The 19,369-nt window shown below is 54.1% G+C and overlaps 1 protein-coding gene across 6 annotated transcripts, besides 8 other annotated features; it reads left to right on the plus strand.

The window, feature by feature from the left end:
* The first annotated feature begins 44 nt into the window (after window positions 1-44).
* NPAS4 (neuronal PAS domain protein 4) lies at window positions 45-17,594 on the plus strand. 6 transcript variants are annotated; one of them, XM_047426764.1, is made up of 11 exons: window positions 45-349; window positions 747-935; window positions 1,040-1,860; window positions 11,889-12,241; window positions 13,007-13,158; window positions 13,338-13,440; window positions 13,561-13,828; window positions 14,010-14,119; window positions 14,465-14,600; window positions 14,722-16,157; window positions 16,848-17,594. In XM_047426764.1, the coding sequence occupies exons 3-11, from the start codon at window positions 1,808-1,810 to the stop codon at window positions 16,874-16,876; spliced, it is 2,640 nt and encodes an 879-aa protein (XP_047282720.1). In that variant the 5' UTR covers window positions 45-349; window positions 747-935; window positions 1,040-1,807; the 3' UTR covers window positions 16,877-17,594. The 6 variants fall into 6 exon arrangements, with proteins under 6 accessions (XP_047282720.1, XP_047282721.1, NP_001305733.1 ...); XM_047426765.1 differs by lacking the exon at window positions 747-935 and having other exon boundaries at window positions 1,040-1,255; window positions 1,743-1,860; NM_178864.4 differs by lacking the exons at window positions 45-349; window positions 747-935; window positions 1,040-1,860 and having other exon boundaries at window positions 11,922-12,241.
* Window positions 4,453-4,971: an enhancer, noted in NCBI's record as "H3K27ac-H3K4me1 hESC enhancer chr11:66181037-66181555 (GRCh37/hg19 assembly coordinates)". NCBI's record gives its function as "activates a minimal SCP1, AML or CMV promoter by ChIP-STARR-seq in naive H9 embryonic stem cells {active_cell/tissue: H9 hESC(naive)}" and the evidence as "EXISTENCE:reporter gene assay evidence [ECO:0000049][PMID:30033119]".
* Window positions 4,972-5,490: an enhancer, noted in NCBI's record as "H3K27ac-H3K4me1 hESC enhancer chr11:66181556-66182074 (GRCh37/hg19 assembly coordinates)". NCBI's record gives its function as "activates a minimal SCP1, AML or CMV promoter by ChIP-STARR-seq in naive and primed H9 embryonic stem cells {active_cell/tissue: H9 hESC(naive and primed)}" and the evidence as "EXISTENCE:reporter gene assay evidence [ECO:0000049][PMID:30033119]".
* Window positions 8,624-9,124: an enhancer, noted in NCBI's record as "H3K4me1 hESC enhancer chr11:66185208-66185708 (GRCh37/hg19 assembly coordinates)". NCBI's record gives its function as "activates a minimal SCP1, AML or CMV promoter by ChIP-STARR-seq in naive H9 embryonic stem cells {active_cell/tissue: H9 hESC(naive)}" and the evidence as "EXISTENCE:reporter gene assay evidence [ECO:0000049][PMID:30033119]".
* Window positions 9,125-9,625: an enhancer, noted in NCBI's record as "H3K4me1 hESC enhancer chr11:66185709-66186209 (GRCh37/hg19 assembly coordinates)". NCBI's record gives its function as "activates a minimal SCP1, AML or CMV promoter by ChIP-STARR-seq in naive H9 embryonic stem cells {active_cell/tissue: H9 hESC(naive)}" and the evidence as "EXISTENCE:reporter gene assay evidence [ECO:0000049][PMID:30033119]".
* Window positions 11,968-12,564: an enhancer, noted in NCBI's record as "H3K27ac-H3K4me1 hESC enhancer chr11:66188552-66189148 (GRCh37/hg19 assembly coordinates)". NCBI's record gives its function as "activates a minimal SCP1, AML or CMV promoter by ChIP-STARR-seq in primed H9 embryonic stem cells {active_cell/tissue: H9 hESC(primed)}" and the evidence as "EXISTENCE:reporter gene assay evidence [ECO:0000049][PMID:30033119]".
* Window positions 11,968-12,811: a biological region, named in NCBI's record as "Sharpr-MPRA regulatory region 12876".
* Window positions 12,497-12,811: a silencer, noted in NCBI's record as "fragment chr11:66189081-66189395 (GRCh37/hg19 assembly coordinates)". NCBI's record gives its function as "represses an EF-1alpha promoter that drives an FKBP-Casp9 reporter gene in an ReSE screen in HepG2 liver carcinoma cells {active_cell/tissue: HepG2}" and the evidence as "EXISTENCE:reporter gene assay evidence [ECO:0000049][PMID:32094911]".
* Window positions 12,505-12,799: a silencer, noted in NCBI's record as "tiled region #12876; HepG2 Repressive DNase unmatched - State 12:CtcfO, and K562 Repressive DNase matched - State 8:EnhW". NCBI's record gives its function as "represses a minimal TATA promoter and a strong SV40 promoter by Sharpr-MPRA in HepG2 and K562 cells {active_cell/tissue: HepG2 | K562}" and the evidence as "EXISTENCE:reporter gene assay evidence [ECO:0000049][PMID:27701403]".
* Window positions 17,595-19,369: the final 1,775 nt, after the last annotated feature.

Genomic DNA, 19,369 nt, shown 5'->3' on the forward strand with positions numbered 1-19,369 from the left:
GAGCCGCAGCCCTTCTGCTGATGCGCGCGCGCTGGCGCCTTTTTAAGGCAACTGGCGGAGTGGCGGCTCCACCAGAGCCTGGGAGCTGCCCCCGCCCCCGAGCCGCGAGCCCCGCGCCGGGCCGGGGAGTCCCCGGCGCCACACGCCCCCACCACCCCCATCTTAGCGCCCCCCACCCTCTATGGAGACATTTCAACCAGGGAGAAGGGAAGTCCTGCCCTTGCCCCTCGCCCCCGCCCTGCTCCTCCAACAGGGGAGACTTCTGTCCAAACCTTGGAAAGAAACGAGATGCCAGGCCTAGCGCCTTCGGGGATCCTCTCTGGACAAGGCCACAGGGTGAAAACACCAGGTGAGGACTTCACTACCCTTGGGGCCACCATGGGACCCTGGAGACCTTTGCCTCCCTCCAGGCGCCCCCGACCCCTTAAACTTTTTCTCCCTGAGCTCAGCCTGGAGCAGAGTTAGGATCCTGGGAAAGCCCCTTACCAGTTGCTCCAACCCCCTCCTTAAACTGGAAGGGAAACTGAGGCCCAGAGAAAAGTAGTGATTGACTAGGGCCACATGGCACGTTCCTAGAGGAAGAGCATGGGCCAGAACCCACAGATGCTGACCTCCTGGCCAGAGGTCAAGGCATTCCTTATGGTTGAGCATAGCCAGCCCCGTGTGCCAGTATCCAGCCCCTGCCCTGCACCAAGCAGAGGGGCTGGACACCTCTGTCATGGCACCAGCTGCCTCTCCTTCCCCAGCACAGTCTGGACCTGGGCGGACTTTTTGGAAAAGCTTCTGGATGCCACGGACTCCACGACCAACCAACTAGGTTGCTGCTGCTTGCAAACATCGCCTCCATTGAAGGATTCCTGCAGCCACCAGCTCTGGAACTTTCTGGAACCAAACATTTCCCCAGACTGCCTACAAGGACCAATTGGCCTCTGGATGTAGGTGTGGCCTGCAGGGGTCCGGCAGGGCTCCCCAGAGTCAAGTGGACCCAGCCCTTTGGACCCCCTGCCCGGTCCTATTGACCTCTGCTCTCTCCCTGCAGCACTTCCTGGAGGCGTTTGACCGGGACCTGGGAGGGCAGCTGAGAAGTGCCTGACCATTCTCAAGGAGCTGCGTGGATTCCAGACATCTCTGGGCTGGTCTCTGGACCGGGATGGGGGACCCAGAGGTGGAGCCGAACACACAAGCAGCACTTGAGGGCTCCGAGGGTGGCAAGGAGAGAAGTTCCTGCTCTGGTACAGCCCTGGGACCTTGAAAGGTGCTTCAACAGAGCGTCCACTCCCAGCGCCTAGCTCTGGGACCTTGAATGGTGCTTTAACAGAGCGTCTGCTCCCAGCGCCAAGCCCTCAGTGCAGAGGGGGAGACTCAGGCGGCCCTCAGACACAATTCGCCAAGGTCGCACAGCAAGTCAGGGTGCCGCTAAGACTAGGACCTACAGCTCTGCCTCCTGGCCCAGGCTCCTCAGCACCTGGGCCCCAGAGGACAGCCTGTGGGAGGCCCACATGGCCACTGCACCATGAACCAAGGACCTGGTCCGGGTCCACCTCCACCAAGTGCTGGCCGTGTGTCACTGGGGTCACTCCACTCTCTGCATTAGGTCTCAGTCATCCAAGACCATCTTTCAAGGGCCGTCACTCCAATTATGAGTCTGGGATTTTCTGAAATTGAGCATTTTGGCCAGGCTGTGGGGTCCCTCTATGACTGCCTGTAAGACACTGCCAAGGGGACTTTCTTCCTTTCACCAGACTGAAGCTAAGAAGTGCTGGAGACAGCAGTTGCTTTAGCCACAGGCTGTGTAGACCACCTGAGGATGACCTGGGGGTCTGTTTTGTGCACCTTGGAACCCATCGGATCCCTCCAATGGTGAGTCCCCTGGTGTACCCAGCACCAAGCTGTGAGAACGACCCCCAACGGGTTGGGTGGAAGAAGCAAAACTACAGGCTCAGTCCCAGTACTTACTCCCCTGTGTCCACACAGGCCAGGTCTCCAGGGTCCCTGCCCATCCAGGGCTGAGAACGTGGTCCTCTGGGAGCCTTCAGGCCCACTCGGACCCCAGCATTGGGCAATGGGCTCATCCCTACCTGAAACTGGGGCTTGGGGTTGCAGCATTCAACTTCCAAAGCCCAAGAGGCACTGGGACAGGTGGCCCAGCAGGCTCAGAGATGCTCAAGTGCCAGAGGTTGGGAGGGCCCTTTGAGGCTAAGGGGTCTGACCCACTGCCATTTTGCAAATACAAAAACTGAGGCCCAGGGAGGGAGAGAGGTTTGCAGAACACGCCCAGCAGGCTAGTGGTAGAGCTGGGAACAGAATCTGCATCTTCTGCTGCTCCTATTCAGAACTATTCCCCTGCACCAAACATAATCCGCTGACATCTAGACTGAGCTCAGCTCGTCTTCTTCCTGGACCTTGGACTCCTTGGCAGAAGGCTCTCCCAACTCACAGCCTGTCAGGGATGGCAATTCAGGGGCTTTCCCTTCAACCTGATGGTCCTTTCCACCAAAGCTTCCTGGTGCTCCTCCCCTCCCACCAGTGCTCAGCCCTTCTTGGCTTCAGAAGCTGCTCCATCAGCAGCCGTAAGGGTCACTCTCCCCTGCTCACCATGGTTCACCCAACTCCCTGTGGTTCCCGCGTTCCCCAGCATGGGGAGCACCATTCTCCCTGCTCGTGGGGGTCTCCTCTTTGTTGCCCCTCGGCCCAGTCCCTGACCTTCTCTGACCACTGGAGCCTTAAATCCCATCAGTCTTTCCTGGGACCCCCGGACTGTTCCCTGTAGATTTCCTCTCTGTTGGCCCAGGGCCTGTGAGAGTAATGATGGCTGGCATGTCATAGGGCTGCTGTGAGGTTTTCATGAATTAATACACTCATCAGGTACACAAGGTGTGGGTAGGTGCCTCATCTGTAAACTCCTATGTTACGAGCTGTGCCCTGATAGTAACAAGGAGAGACTTGAAGCTGGAGCCTCTGGAGGCTGAGGTATCTGTTGGTGGAAGGGGAAGAAAGGAGGTGCCAGCCTGGAGGAGTTTTTAGTAATGGGAGATAATGGGAGCCACAAGGGTCTTAAGCTGGGAAGAACATGGTCAGGTTGGCTTCCGGAAGAATGGCAAGGGGAGCTGGGCTGCTGAGCACCAGAAGGGTGTGTTGGGCCCGGCCCGGGACCTCCGTCTCTGGCTTTGGTGAGCAGTGGAGGGGGCAGCTGCTGCCCGGGGAAGGAGCCTGCTGGGGCCCGAGCCAGAGCCCTGAGGGGCACTTTATGTGCATCCCTCCACTTCTCCAGGCTGCAGCCTTAGCCTGGTTTACTCCATCTGGTGCTCTCAGACCTGGCCTGGATCAAAGCTGCCGGTGGGTACCCAGGCTATTTCTACACTTGCAGTGCCAGGACATGTGCTGCCTCCTGAACCAGCCCCTGCCGTCTCTGCATAGCCTTGTTCAAAATTATATTTTTCATAAAGTTAAGATAATGACCAACATTCTGCCATGTGAGCATTTCTTGTGCTCCTTTTATGCATCAGGCATTTTCTGAGTGTTTTAACTAATTAACTCCTTTAATGCTAACATCAGTCCCTTGATAGGGGTGCCATCATTCTCCCCACTTCTGTATTTAACAAATCGGTAAACTGAGGCACAAAAGGTTAAGTCACTTAACTGACCGATGTCACAAAGGCAGTCTGTGGAGGAGGCAGGACTCAGCCCAGATTCTCCTCCCCCGCCACCCTCTCCTGCCTCAGGTACATCCCCTCCCACTGGCCTTTCCACGTGGACCGTGTCTCTCCCACTGCCTCTTGATGGTCCTTCAAACATCTGCAAATGCCACACCACCTCCTCAAGCCTCCTCTTCTCTGAGGAACATCTCTCCATTCCTTCCATCTTTTAAAAATTTCTTACAAATGTTTATGAAGCACTTTACGCTGGAGTTGACAGTGGGCAAAGCAGTCACAGTCCCTGCCATGGTGACCACAGTCTAGTGGACAAGAGACAATAAATTCCTCACCAAAATAAAGGATTAAATCGCTATTTCACCAAGTGCCAACAGAGGCCTGGGGTGCCTGCAAACCTGTAACTGAGGATTTGGCCTCAGCGGTAATGTCAGGGAAGGCTTTCCAGAGGAGACGATATTTAGGCTGAACTAACGGGAAATTAGGAAGAACTCGGCAGAGGAGAGAGGCAGCAGCACCCCAGGAGAGAGAACAGCATGTGCAAAAGCACTGTGGCGGCCGGGAGGGTGGCAGGCCAGGGACTGGAAGAAGGCTTATGCAGCTGGAAGAGAGGCAAGGGGGTGCATGAGGCCAGACAGGCTGGAGGGCTTACCAGAGGCAGGCCTGGGGGATGGCCTGGGCCCTGCCTCACAGCCCTGGGTGCAGTTGGCTCCTCCTCACTGGCTGCTCTGCTCAAGGCTAGGCTTGGACCCATAGCATAAGTCCTAGAGCCAAACCTCCTGGCCCTGACAGAGGCTGCCCTCTCTCCACTTTTGCTGCATGTCCCTGTTAACACAACCTCAGCTACAGTGGCTTCTTTTGTGGCTACCTGGCACTGTGTTGAATCTCATTTATGAGGCCACACTCCTCTGTCCACCCAGCCACCCACCCAGCACAGCCTGGCCCAGTCAACACTGACTTGCCACCAGCAGCTCAACTCAAATGCACCTGCTTGGGGAGGCCGGTGCCAACTCCTCAGGCAGGGTCACCCCTCCTTTTGCTCTCCCCAAACTCCCAGCATGCCTCCTTGACAGCAGTATCCCACTGAAGTGGCTGGATGGACCCCTTGCTCTCTCACCAGCCTGCAGGTTCCATGAGGCCAAGACCAGCTGTCTGTGGGCACCATCACATCACTGCAGAGGCTGGCACAAACTCTGCCCTCAGCTGTTTGTTGCATGAATGACTTACATGCCTGAGCCCCTGCCCTGTGCCAGGCCTTGTGCTGGATGCTGGGAACATGAAGACCAGTTGTAGATGCTGGTAGGGGAGACAGCCAAGTAAACACACAGGGACAATGCAGGGTGCAGAGTGCGGTGACGAGGAAGCACAGGGGCTGGGGGGCACTGAGGGGGTCCCCGGACCTCACTGGAGGACCAGAAGGGCCAGAATTTGCCAGCTGGGAGTGGTGGTGGAGAGGACTCTGAAAATGAATGTGAGGAAAATCCGCCTCCTCCAGCCTCCCCAGGGCAGGTCAAGAGTATTGGTCGCTGCTCTGCATTTGAAAAGTGGCTTTAGTTGATTAGGTTTCTTTCCCCTCTTGGAATGTGGCTGCTCTGACTTGCTCCTCACTGCATTCCTTGCATCCTCTTCTCTCAGCCCTGCCTTCAGGACATTGCCCACAAAAGTTTCATCTTTTCCCACCTGGGCTCTACTCTCCCTCTCCCACCCCCTCCATGGTTCTATGTCCCTCACCTTCCTGGCTTTCAGCTCATTCACCCAGCTCTGGCCGTCTCAATGCGTGGGTGCCAGCCTGCACCCTCTTTACATGAGCTTTGTTGATTTCATAACCATAAATAGATAAAATGTTCTGAATGCTTTCATGTGCAAGTAGAATTGAGGGAGTGATAGCATAATGAAAAGGCCTCAGGAAAAGGAAAACAGCTTGCTAAGATGCAGCGGAAGACAACACGGTCACTGCACAAGCCAGCTCTGCGTGGGTTTCCTATTCTCACTGCACTGACCGCGGAGCCATGGACGCAGGATGGGGAGGTGCTTAGGAATCTGTTAGAAAACCTTTCCCTGGTTTCAAATCCACCAATTCAAAAGAACAACCTAGAAAAAAAACAGTAGAAGTCAGGAAAACCTGGGTTCAATTGTGGATTTATCTCATTCTAGCTGTGTGATCCTAGGCAAGTTAATCAACCTCTCTGAGAAGGCATAGAGAGATTCTTCCCCCCTGGGTCAGACTGGAGGCTTCGGGAGGCCCAATATCCCACAATACCTTCCTTTTCCTCCCATATGTAAATTTTGTCTTCCTGACAATTCGTTAATCACCAGCCCTGAGACCCCCCTGCCCAAAATGCAGTCCTGAAGACTAGGGTCGGAATAGGGATGGAATGGGGTACCCTGCCTCCTCATTGCCTGTTCCAACTCCTGGTGCAGGAAGTGGAGCATCATCCTGCATGGGGAGGGTACATCTCCACAGCCACAAAAGGGGCTGGAAACCAATAAGGAGCCTGACCCATTGGGCTTCCCACCTCTCCTCCTTTAAGTTGTCCAGGAGCACTACTTCTCCATGGCCTTTGGAACAGTAAAGGGGGCTGAAATGATAGCTTGGTATACCCTGGGTTAAGAGAGCTTTCTGGGTGAGAAAGAGAAACAAGTGGAGATATTCCTGGTGTGAACTCATCCTCTGGTCTAAGGATGGCACGCTTTTTCTCTAAAGGATCAATTAGTAAAAAGTGTCAAAAAGTTCTTTAGGCTTTTTGAACCATATGGTCTCTGTTGCAACTACTCAGCTCTTCCATTGTAATGTGAAAACAGCCATAGACAATGAGTAAATGAATGAATGTGACTGTGTTCCAATAAAACTTTATTTACAAAAGGAGGCAGCAGGCTAGATGTGGCTAGATTTGCAGTCCATAGTTTGTAAACCCTAGCCCTATCACGTGGTGCAAAAGAGAAAGCTTGGGTTGGGAGCAGGAACTAGGGGTGAGGCTCAGCATTGCCAGACTTGCTGTGTGACTTTGATTAAGTCATTATCTATCTCTGAGCCTTTGTTTCACCATCTATCAAATGAGCATCATAATATCAGTCAAGGCTGGGTGTCGTGGCTCACACGTGTAATTCCAGCACTTTGGGAGGCCAAGGTGGGAGGATTGCTTGAGGTCAGGAGTTCAAGACCAGCCTGGGCAGAAAAAATTTTTTTAAATTATCTGGGTGTAGTAGTTTATGCCTGTAGTCCCAGCTACTCGAGATCCTGACACAGAAGATCATTTCAGCCCAGGAGTTTGAGGTGGCAGTGAGCTATGATCAGGCCACTGCACTCTAGTCTAGATGACAGAGCAAGACTGTATATAAATAACAATAATGATATCAGCCAGATTTGTCGTGAGAATGTGTCTAACAGGCCAGAGCAAATCTGAAGTCTTTTTGTCCCTCTGCTTCATAACGTTAAGTGGATTTGCACCCACTGCCCATGCCAACCTCAGCTGGCCATGCCCTTGCCTGCTGAGGGTAGCAGCAGCCTGCCAGAAAGGAAGGTGTCTCTCTCCAGGGTCAGATTCTTCATCTGTCTTTCCAAGCTCGAGCCCCAAGTGACCCCATTTCTGTAGCAAGCCAAGCACGGGAGGAAACAAGGAATCCCTTTCTTTCCACCATCCAGTCATTTGGCAACAAGCTACAGTTCACTTGAGAGAGTGATATGGCTGCAGTGGCTGGTGGCCAGGCTTTGGAGGAGGCCTTGGAGACTCAGGCTGGGAATAGAACTATGAAAAATGGGCTTCAGTGCTCCTCTGGAACATTAACCTATGGCCATAAGTTAAGTAGTTGCAGCTGTGGTCTCATTGGTAACTTGCAGCACCACCAATTGCATCAATGCATCTTTCTTGGACCATCTTGCCCACCTGTCTGGTCTGACCACTACTGCAAGCTTGCATCCTTTGGCATATTGTCATTTTCTCTGAAGCCCCATTCAGTGATTCATTCATTCATATTCTTTCTGTCTCTCCCCACTTCCCTTCCCTTCCTCCCCCTTTCTCTTTCTCATAGACACATTTGTCCAGAGCAAGACAAGATCACACTTTGACAGCCCTCTGTCAAGATCCTTGCTCCAAATCTCCAGACTAGCAGCCAGGAGTCTCCATGCTGTTCTGAAGAAGCAGATTCCTCACCCACCCTTCAACTCCTTCCCAGGAGGTAATCCTCCTCCAAATCTCTGGAAAAGATACACCTCCTCTTCTCTGATAAAGGCTGGGGGGTGATGCCCCTCCCCCAGTTTCCCAATAAAGCTATGCAAGACAGGAGCAAGGGATCTCACGGCCTGTTTTTGCTACAAAAACCCTTTTTCGGAAAAAATAATAAAGAAAGGAATCAGCCAATCCCTCCTCGATGCCATCACCTCTTCTCGGTGATTTTTCGGGGAAGGAGTGGGTGGGTTGCTATGGCAACAGATGCGAGCTCGTCTCAGTAAAGAAGGGACCTTGATATTTTTTTCTCTCTCTCATTCTCTCAGTTGTGTGTGTGTGCGTGCATGTGTATGTGCGCCTGTGTGTGTGTGCATGCGCGCTACACATGCCTGTGCCCACACCAGGAATTTTTTTTTTTTAGAACTAAAGAAAGCCCTTCTCTTCTCTCAGCTCTCCAAATATGGAGTGATGGAAAACCACTTACTCCTGCAGGCCAGGGAGAATTCAGGATGATTCAAGAGAAAAGGGAGAGGTCATGTGGGGCTCCTTTCCTCCATGTTTTTACTAGAGATTGCATGCAACAAGAGAGCTTTGCAAATGGTTAGGGGGCCTTTGGAAAGAGGAGAAGATGTTAGGTGGAAAGAGGTGAGCAAGATATAGATGGTGCAGGAACTCAACGGGTGACCTCAGAGAGGGCAACAGAAGCTATATTGAGTCTGGGGACGCATGTACATCCCACCACACCATCAGATGCTGAAAGACCCAGAGCAGACTCAGATATGGACACAAACACAGACACTGACAGAAAGGCATATGGAAAATTGTAGACATAAATACACACAGGCACAAACATAGAACTGCACAGAACATAGGAAGTTGGAGACAAAAAAAAAAGACAAGCATAGATGCAGGCATAGGTAAACATAGATATACAGGGGTACAGACTCGCAGCTACAAAGACACATGCAAACAGATAGAGATGTAGACATCCAACCACCTCCAGACAGGTTTGGAGGCAGACACACAGGACACACAAACACAGTCTCAGTCAAATGAACACACACACACACAAACACACAGACACACACACAGAGTCTGGCTCTTTTCCTTCAATTGCCCAAGCATCCTTGAGCAGTAGTGCATAGCTGAGGATGCTGCACGCTTGCCCAGTAGGTTTGGCTGAGAGGCTTGCTCTCCCATTCCTTCTACACGCTCACCCCAAAGCCCCTCTCCCAATTCACTCCCTTGCCCACTTTCCCACAGCCAGCAGGCTCTGATGCCTCCCCCATCTCAGGCTTCTAATTCTTAGCTTGTTCTGCTGCTGCCTGCCACTTGGGGGAGAGAGTGGGGTGACTCAGCCAGGCCAGGATGACTCACACTGCCAGTATTTTTAGCAGCGGCCAGGAGCTCTCTAGTGTGCCAGCCGCCCCCCTCCTCCTGCTTGCTATTTCGGAACCGTCACTGGTGATATAAATAGCTCCTCTCCCACGGCCTGAAGCTGCTGCCAAGCTATTTTTGGTTCTGCACAGTTAAAAATAGCTTCACGGAGGTGGGAGGCAAGGGGAGTGGGAGCTGGCCTAGGGAGAGGAGACATTGGGGCACACAGAGCTTCTCAACTTGAATCAGAGTGGGCGAACTAGGATGAGCCCTTCTCTACCCCCTCCCTTGTCCCTTTCTAGACCCTTCTTCCCTTCCAAAGTGTTTCTTCCCATTCCATTCTCCTGGAAAAAGCCAGGGGCTCTTCCCCTGAGCCCAGTTCTCCTCCCTTGCTTACTTCACCCTTAGAGCCCAGAAATCTTGGCCCCCTGCAAACCCTCCATATTCATTCACAGAGAATAAGGGGACAGTCAAAGAGTAGGCTCACTCTGAGGCCTGTGGGTACCCAAGCCCTACGTCGATGTCCCCGGCAAACCGTAGCATGACTTCCATGGTGACTCTTTCAGCACCACGGACAGCGGTCGGCGCAGTATTCCTTCACTGCAGATTCGCTCAGATTGCTGGAGGCCATGACACCCAGCCAGTAGACTCCTCTTATTGTGGAGGGGGACACTCAGAATGCCTCACAGGCAGCTTTAGCATCAGTGAATGAAGAACACAGGAACAACCCCCCTGGAATTTCATACGGAAGGGGATCCAAAGATCAAGGGATTGTTCAAATGGAAGATTGAGAGAGGGGTGGGTAGGTACATTAGAGGTCAGATTGAGAAGAAAGAAGCAACACAGACCCATGTCCAGGAGGAATCATCTCTCTGTCATCCAGGTCAATGGGGTTAGAGACAGTGGCAGACAGATAAGCGGACATCGTTCCCTCCACCTCAGCTGTGACACTGACCACAGGATGGCCCCAACCTCTGCCAAAATGCATAAGACACCAGAATAGGGTCTCCACACCTTGTACACCTCTTCTAAGACATACTTCTCCTCAGCCGCCTCTCCTCCCACTCTACCTCTCTTACTACCACCCCTTTCCATGAGGAGCGGAGAGTTCCCTGGCCCCAAATTGTCCTTTTTGATGTCAAAGTTCATCTCCATGCTTCCTGTGTGACTGGGACTTCCCAGTCCCACCCTCCAATTTTTAAGTGGCCTCATTTCCAGCCACTTAAGTGATTCCATGCGCACACAGCTACTCCATCAAACGAGATTTCAGATAAGAACATTCCCTAGCCCACTTGCTTCTTGCATTATTGAATCCCAGGATAAGAACGGCACATCCTCGCCCCTGTAGAGAGCAATCATCTGTGGTGAAAAGAGAAAAAAAGCGGGTGTGTGGGGGGGTGGGGATAGGGCAAAGGTGACAGGATATGAAAAGGATAGAAAAGGATATGAAAGGACAGAAAAAGAAACGAAGGTGGAAAGTGGAGAGCTGAAGGTGGAGAGGCAGAGCCAGGAGCCTTAGAGGCGCAAATGTGGAGAGGGGTGGAGGGAACCTGGCAAAAATACAGGGTCCCTGGTAGGTGCAGGGGTCATGGAGGGTCCGGCGCTGCCCCTTCGCTTCTCAGCTGCTCCCCCATCTTGCCCGCCTAGGCAGGGCGGGGAGCCCTCCGGAGCGGTGCGGAGGCAGCCAGGCCCCGCCCGCCGCAGCCGCGGCAGCCGCCGGAGGATTCCTGTCCTAATATGGAGCTGGGATTCCCCCGGCCCCGCCCCCGCCCCCGGCCCGCGGGGAGACAGAGGCTGGCAGCAGGGCGGGGGGAAGCGCTCGCTTGGGGGCCGGCAACGGGGGGAAGGGATGCCTAAGTGCAGACCCAGGTCCTCGCCGTGCCCCCACGTCCCTGCCTCAGTTTCCCCTTCAGTAAGGTTAATTAGCTGAGAGGGAAACCACGAATCACTGCAGACTACAGCGCTGATGTTGGTTTCTATTCTTGGCTGTGGGAAAACAGGATCAACGCCAAATTCAGCTGGTCCCTTTCCCACCGGACTCCCTTTCCACCCATCCTCGGGACTTAGACCCCCATGAACACCCCCTGATAAGCCGCCAAGGCCCGATTTGGGAAGCGGGGGCGGGAATTTGTTCTCTAAAAATGGCCAAGGGAATCCCAGGTTAAATAGTCCCCAGAGAGGAACCCCAGCAGTGACCTGTCCCACGGAGGCCAAGGAAAGTCCTCCTTCCCTGCATGTGAACGTGACCTTGTCTGTCAAGTAACGAGGGGGATTTGTAGACAACCCTGTTCTTCCCCATTCCCTCAACTCCTCAGAAAAATTAGTGTCAGTGCCGGCCCCTCTCTGCCCTCTGCGGACTCCTGCCGCGGGCTTCAGGCCGCCCTAAACCTGGCCCTGTCGCTTCCCTCAACTGAACGCATTCAGACGCCAGGGTCCCCACACTCCATTCAAGCTTTCCTAACGCAGCGCCTTCCTCTCCGCTCAGCTCCCGCCAGGCTTGGCCCCCTCCGCAGCCTCCTGCTCCCCCCTCGCCCGCCTCCCTCCCTCTCTCATTCTACGTCATGAGATGACGTCGGAAGCCGGGCGGGAGGAGGAGCCCCCCTCCCCAGTCAGCGGCTCCCGCTGCAGCTTGCTTAGCCCAGCCTCCCGCTCTCCCGCCCCCCCGGCTCTAAAACGAGCCCCCCACGCCTGGCAGGAGCTATATAAGGCGGCGTGAGGCAGGCGAGGGGGGCAGCGCAGCCGAGCGGAGCCCAGGAGAGCAGAGAGCGAGCCTGAGCGAGAGACGGGGAAGCACGGAGGAGGAAGCCGCCGGTGCGTCGGGACGGGAGCGCAGGTGCTCGGGCACCCGAGCTGGAGCTCCGCAGCCGCCGGTCATGTACCGCTCCACCAAGGGCGCCTCCAAGGCGCGCCGGGACCAGATCAACGCCGAGATCCGGAACCTCAAGGAGCTGCTGCCGCTGGCCGAAGCGGACAAGGTCCGGCTGTCCTACCTGCACATCATGAGCCTCGCCTGCATCTACACTCGCAAGGGCGTCTTCTTCGCTGGTGGTGAGCATGCTGGGGCTACCGCAGATCCGAGCTGCCAGGCGCCGGAGACCCTGGAGCTGAGGGAACCCGCTGGGGCTGTCGCATGTCTAGGGCAGCGTGCTGGCGAGCTGGGGAGATTCGGGACTCGGGAGATTCGGGACTTTCTACTTTTCCTCCTGAGCTCCCTCCAGACCTCACCTTAGTTCTGAATGAGAGTTAGAGAGCCTGGACGGTGTCCCTAACACCAGATTATGAGAGGATAAGAGCCAGGACAGAGCGGCCTCGGTGCCCGCCAGTGCAGAAGCGCTCCGGGAGCCGGGGAGGGAAGCCCGGGAAGTTGCAGGGATGGAGCTGCCTGAGCCTAGGGGAACATAGCTACTGTCCGCGGTGCTGAAAGGGATCTCCTGTCGCCTTCGGGGCGCTGCCCATGGTGCTGACGGCTGCGCCGGCCGTGTATGGCTCTGTCCATGGTTCTGAACCCACAGTCGGCTTCGGAGCTCTGTCCGCGGTTCTGAAATTCAGAGCCGCTTTGGAGCTCTGTCCGCGGTTCTGAAATTAAGAGCCGAGAGGAGCCGACCCCGCTTTAGAAGTCGAGGGCTTGTGGGCTATGGAGATACAGCAACAGGTTCCCTGGCCAAGAGCTGCGGGCAGCGGGTCAACAGGTGTTTGCAGAGGCAGGTCCATGAGAAATTCCTCTGGATTCTCTGAAACTCAGACCATGCCTTCCTCACTTCTTCTCTGCCTCCCAGTCTTACTCCTGACGCACTACGTCTTCTCGCCCTACAGGCACTCCTCTGGCGGGCCCCACGGGGCTTCTCTCAGCTCAAGAGCTTGAGGACATCGTAGCGGCACTACCCGGCTTTCTGCTTGTGTTCACAGCCGAGGGGAAATTGCTCTACCTGTCTGAGAGTGTGAGCGAGCATCTGGGCCACTCCATGGTGAGTGCTAAGGGTCCTTTCAGCTGAGGCTGGGCATGGAGTGGGTGCCGTGAGCCTTCCACTCCTGAGGAACTGGGAATTACTATGGAGGGAGAGGTTATACCCTACAAGATACTGTAGATCAAAGATTGGCTCCTGCTGTTCTCCCTAATGGTCATCTCTTCTTTTCCTCCCTCCAGGTGGACCTGGTTGCCCAGGGTGACAGCATCTACGACATCATTGACCCAGCTGACCACCTCACTGTGCGCCAGCAACTCACCCTGCCCTCTGCCCTGGACACTGGTAAGGACTCCCTTCTCCCTTCCTCGGTCCAATTTCCCACCTGCTGCCCTTCTCCCCACCATCCACTGTCTCTCTCTCAGCCACTCACCCTCTTATCTGTTTTTCTCTTCATCTATCTAGATCGCCTCTTCCGCTGCCGCTTCAACACCTCCAAGTCCCTCAGGCGCCAGAGTGCAGGCAACAAACTCGTGCTTATTCGAGGCCGATTCCATGCTCACCCACCTGGAGCCTACTGGGCAGGAAATCCCGTGTTCACAGCTTTCTGTGCCCCTCTGGAGCCGAGACCCCGCCCAGGTCCTGGCCCTGGCCCTGGCCCTGCCTCGCTCTTCCTGGCCATGTTCCAGAGCCGCCATGCTAAAGACCTGGCTCTACTGGACATCTCCGAGAGGTAAGCCTGGAGTGTTCAGATTCCAAGAGAAAGGCAGGCCAGAGATGAAGGGACCCTAGATTCTGGAGTCAGGGGCAGGGAGGATGGGGTTTAGGGGGGCAGAGGATCTGGGAGGGAGTGAGATGCATGGGTATCAAGCAAGGAAAACAGAAAGCTGACCTCACCCTTTCCACCTTCCCAGTGTCCTAATCTACCTGGGCTTTGAGCGCAGTGAACTGCTTTGTAAATCATGGTATGGACTGCTGCACCCCGAGGACCTGGCCCACGCTTCTGCTCAACACTACCGCCTGTGTGAGTGTCCAGAGAGGCTGGGGACAAGATAGCAAGCTGGGAAAGGGCATGGGAGACCAGACAAAGAATGATCTGTAGTCAAGAGTGATGCTGGGGAGATAACAGAGGCCAACAGTTTCGGATGCTATAGGGTGAACATGAAGGTGAGGATTCAAGGCAATAATCAAATCAGAACTGGGGGACTCTGAGTGGTGAGGTCAAGGTAGAGAGCTGAGTGGTTCAGGTGAGGGTAGTCAGAAGAGAGGATGTCACGGCTATCTCAATTCAGTGGAGAGGTGACCAAGGGTGGGGAGTAGGTAGAATTGCCTGGTGGACATCCTAACTCTGCATCTTCTTTCTCCCCAGTGGCTGAGAGTGGAGATATTCAGGCAGAGATGGTGGTGAGGCTACAGGCCAAGACTGGAGGCTGGGCATGGATTTACTGCCTGTTATACTCAGAAGGTCCAGAGGGACCCATTACTGCCAATAACTACCCAATCAGGTAAGCCACAAGCCAGGGGACTAGGGGGCAGCTGAGGTCGTCATGGAGGAGACACAAATCAGGGAACTGCTCTGGATATGGACGTCGGACCCTTACCAGCTGCCTCTTCTCTCCTCTCCAGTGACATGGAAGCCTGGAGCCTCCGCCAGCAGTTGAACTCTGAAGACACCCAGGCAGCTTATGTCCTGGGCACTCCGACCATGCTGCCCTCATTCCCTGAAAACATTCTTTCCCAGGAAGAGTGCTCCAGCACTAACCCACTCTTCACCGCAGCACTGGGGGCTCCCAGAAGCACCAGCTTCCCCAGTGCTCCTGAACTGAGTGTTGTCTCTGCATCAGAAGAGCTTCCCCGACCCTCCAAAGAACTGGACTTCAGTTACCTGACATTCCCTTCTGGGCCTGAGCCTTCTCTCCAAGCAGAACTAAGCAAGGATCTTGTGTGCACTCCACCTTACACGCCCCATCAGCCAGGAGGCTGTGCCTTCCTCTTCAGCCTCCATGAGCCCTTCCAGACCCATTTGCCCACCCCATCCAGCACTCTTCAAGAACAGCTGACTCCAAGCACTGCGACCTTCTCTGATCAGTTGACGCCCAGCAGTGCAACCTTCCCAGATCCACTAACTAGCCCACTGCAAGGCCAGTTGACTGAAACCTCGGTCAGAAGCTATGAAGACCAGTTGACTCCCTGCACCTCCACCTTCCCAGACCAGCTGCTTCCCAGCACAGCCACCTTCCCAGAGCCTCTGGGCAGCCCTGCCCATGAACAGCTGACTCCTCCCAGCACAGCATTCCAAGCACACCTGGACAGCCCCAGCCAAACCTTCCCAGAGCAACTGAGCCCCAACCCTACCAAGACTTACTTTGCCCAGGAGGGATGCAGTTTTCTCTATGAGAAGTTGCCCCCAAGTCCTAGCAGCCCTGGTAATGGGGACTGCACGCTCTTGGCCCTAGCCCAGCTCCGGGGCCCCCTCTCTGTGGATGTCCCCCTGGTGCCCGAAGGCCTGCTCACACCTGAGGCCTCTCCAGTCAAGCAGAGTTTCTTCCACTACTCTGAAAAGGAGCAGAATGAGATAGACCGTCTCATCCAGCAGATTAGCCAATTGGCTCAGGGCATGGACAGACCCTTCTCAGCTGAGGCTGGCACTGGCGGACTAGAGCCACTTGGAGGACTGGAGCCCCTGGACTCCAACCTGTCCCTGTCAGGGGCAGGCCCCCCTGTGCTCAGCCTGGACCTGAAACCCTGGAAATGCCAGGAGCTGGACTTCCTGGCTGACCCTGATAACATGTTCCTGGAAGAGACGCCCGTGGAAGACATCTTCATGGATCTCTCTACCCCAGATCCCAGTGAGGAATGGGGCTCAGGGGATCCTGAGGCAGAGGGCCCAGGAGGGGCCCCATCGCCTTGCAACAACCTGTCCCCAGAAGACCACAGCTTCCTGGAGGACCTGGCCACATATGAAACCGCCTTTGAGACAGGTGTCTCAGCATTCCCCTATGATGGGTTTACTGATGAGTTGCATCAACTCCAGAGCCAAGTTCAAGACAGCTTCCATGAAGGTGAGTCAGCCAAAAGGTCCAAGAACTCAAGTCCCTGTCCTGCCAATGAAATGCTGGGTAGATTTAGGCAAATCAATTCCCCCTCTCTGTACATTGATTTTATTAAGGGGATGACATCCCCTGCTGAAGAGAGTAGCAGTGGAGATAAGAAAAAATGAAAGACTTAATATGAAAGTTTGAACAAGCAGACTTGGCAGGGGTTGGGGCTGTGGGATAGAGTGCTAGGGAATTCTTAAGTAAGGGCTTGTGCTTAACTCCATGAGAGGCCTAGATCAGTCTTCAGCACCCCATTTTACAGATGAAAATAATCAAGGTCCCAGAGTTAAACAGACTTTCCTTAGGGTGCACAACAAACTGATGGAAGAGGGACTAGAGCTCTATCCTAGTATCCTAGCTCCCTGAAGGGGATACAGAGCAAGAATTTATGCAAGTTGGTAAAAGAAAGACGAGGCTCAGCCCCTGACTCCATTGAGGTAGCTCCCTGGTTACAGCCCCATCCTTCCTAAACTACAGCCACAGTTTCACTCCGTCCATCCAAATTGCCCCCTAATCTACTGAGCCTCTGGCCATCATTTCATCATTGAGCCAATATCTTTGAAGCCTATACTAATACCAACACATTCTCAGCCCCAGGATCCTCTGTGCTAATTGGTCTAACTGATTGTGTTCTCTCTATCTATCTCTCTGCAGATGGAAGTGGAGGGGAACCAACGTTTTGAATAAGTCTGTGACTTAACGTCGTCAAGTATGGCATATTGTCATCAAGACGTGGAGCCGCTCTCCACCCCCCCGGGACTGTTGGGGGGATTCTGAGGGCCAGAGGGGGATATATATGATTCCCCAGGCCCTGCAGGATTTTGGGGGGGGGGAGGTGGGAGGGCAAGGGAGGGGAGCTTCTTTTTAAAATCAAGAGACTTCGAGCGATCCCAGTTTCCATTTCAATCTGTATTCACTCGTAGTGAGTTTCCTTGAATGGGATTTCAAGCGGAGAATGGGGGAGTCTCACTTCCCCGCCGCCTTGCCCCATTGGCCTGGGCCAGTTCTCCACTCCTAGGGGCCAAGCCACCCCTAGCCTTGGTGGGGGAAAGGCAGGGCCCACCCGGGCCAGCCCGTGCCCTGAGGGGCTCTTGACACCCACGTAGAATTCTCTACACACCAGTAACGGGATTTCAATTCCGATGGACTCTGCCGCCCTGGCGGCCCTTCCTGTGACTTTTGCGCCCCGCGCCTGGGGTGGGGGGTGCGAAGAGACGCTACGTTCCTTTCCGATGGAGGAAGGCAGACCTGCCGTCACACGTGTGCTTGCACGAGTGCGTGTACCTGGTGCGGGACTCACCCGGCCGCCAGACTGCCTGGGCCTGCCCAGATGGCCACCTCGTGGTGCTGCGGTGACTTTGTAGCCAACTTTATAATAAAGTCCAGTTTGCCTTTTTGGTACCTCTGGTGTCATGCGCTGCTGTGTAAAAGGAAGGGTGGAGGATAAGTTTGGGAGGCTTGGATGGGAGCCTGGGGGCCAGGAGGTAAAAGCTGGACCTGTTTATGGCCCCAGCATTTCTTCATCCACTTGTGAATTCATTCATTCATTCACTCATTCATTCATTCTTTCACTCAACGTCCACATGTACATTGTGTGGCCCATACTGTGCTAGAAGCTGGAAAGTTTAGGGCTGAAACAGATGTTATGTCTTGCCCTCAAGGTGCTTGGCGTCCAGTACTAGAGAATACTGGCATCTCCTCTCTGCGCCAGGCTTGCAGTGCTCGTGGTGTGGGAGGGGACAGAGGGCCTAGGAGTGGACATGAGGATTCAATTTGATGTTGGGTCTGGGCATGGGTTTGAAGCTTCTGCTCACAAGTTCTTTCTTCACCTGGTCCTTCAGGGAAGCAACTTCCTTGTGGGGCCCTGGATCGACTCACTGGAAATTATAACCACGTCTGTTATCCTTGCACAGGGCTTTCAGCTGACACACACTTTTACCTCTCTTATTTGCTGCAACAATTCTTCTGGGCAGGCATATTAGCCCATCTCACTGATGAAGAAACTGAGGACCACAGGTAAAAAGTTATTTGTTCCCACAATTGATGACAGGCATGGGTGGATGGGCAACATACCCAGAGCATCTGCATCCCAGCCCTGGGCTGTTTTCTCTGCTGGCAGAGCCAGTGAATCACCACCCATCCCAAATCATCTCATCCCAGATTACTCAAGAAGGGCAAATGTGGGCTGGAGCAGGGTCCTCTCTCCCAAGTGTGGGGTGAGAAACCCCTTCTTTTTGCTCTCCAGGTCTGTAAAGTAGAGCTGAGCAGAATATAACTCAGTAAGTCAAGAGAAAAAAGTTTCCAAAAATGCTGTTTTCCTCCAAGCTTGAAGCCCAAACAGCCACAAGGTAGGGTGAGGGGCAAATGAAAATGAGGAGATGGGCTGGGCACAGTGGGTCACGCCTGTAATCCCAGCACCTTGGGAGGACAAGGCAGGAGGATTGCTTGAGCCCAGGAGTTTGAGATCAGCCTGGGAAACATGGTGAAATCCCATCTTTACAAAAAATACAAAAATTATCTGGGTGTGGTGCACACTTGTAGTCCCAGCTACATGAGAGCCTGAGGCTGGAGAATCTCTTGAGCCTGGGAGGTGGAGGTTGCAGTGAGCCAAGACTGCACCACTGTACTCCAGCCTAGGCGACAGAGCGAACCCTGGATTCAAATCTCATCTCCACCAATTATTTGCCAAATGGGACTTGAGGCTCAGTTTCTCCACAAGTGAAGCAGGGCTGACAAACATGGTACTTATCTCCCAAAGATGCTGTTAGAACTTGATAGTGTCCATTTATAAGCAGAGAAGCACAGAATTGACTTAAGTTATTCAATTGAATTAGAAGGCAACGGTGACCTCAAAGGCTTCCCCAGTGAAGTACAGAGGCTGGGTTCCAGGAACTGAGGGCACAACCTGAGAAAGCCCCTAAGCCTCCTTTTATTCCAAATCCTCCAGCTCTGGGGCCATGCCCTTCAGACAGTCCCATGGGAAGGAAGACACTCCTAGGGACCTGTCACTATTTTTCCAACTTGGATGGGTCCTTGGGTGGAAAAGGAGGGTGGAGTTTTGCCCTCTGCCTTCCTTGTGCATCTGTTCTCCAACTTGGACAAAATAACTGGATTGTCAGCCCCAGGAGGACCCTGGCATGGAGCACAGGACTGGCACATAACAGACACACTCAAAA

Source organism: Homo sapiens, chromosome 11, assembly GCF_000001405.40.
Source record: "Homo sapiens chromosome 11, GRCh38.p14 Primary Assembly".
Classification (NCBI taxonomy): Eukaryota; Metazoa; Chordata; class Mammalia; order Primates; family Hominidae; genus Homo; species Homo sapiens.

Excerpts from the sequence above, each read along its gene's own strand:
- NPAS4 (XM_047426764.1), top strand. The coding sequence starts at position 1,808 with ATGACCTGGGGGTCTGTTTTGTGCACCTTGGAACCCATCGGATCCCTC. Across the intron at positions 13,441-13,560 it reads GCCCTCTGCCCTGGACACTG|ATCGCCTCTTCCGCTGCCGC; the intron begins GTAAGGACTCCC and ends TCATCTATCTAG. Across the intron at positions 16,158-16,847 it reads TCAAGACAGCTTCCATGAAG|ATGGAAGTGGAGGGGAACCA; the intron begins GTGAGTCAGCCA and ends ATCTCTCTGCAG.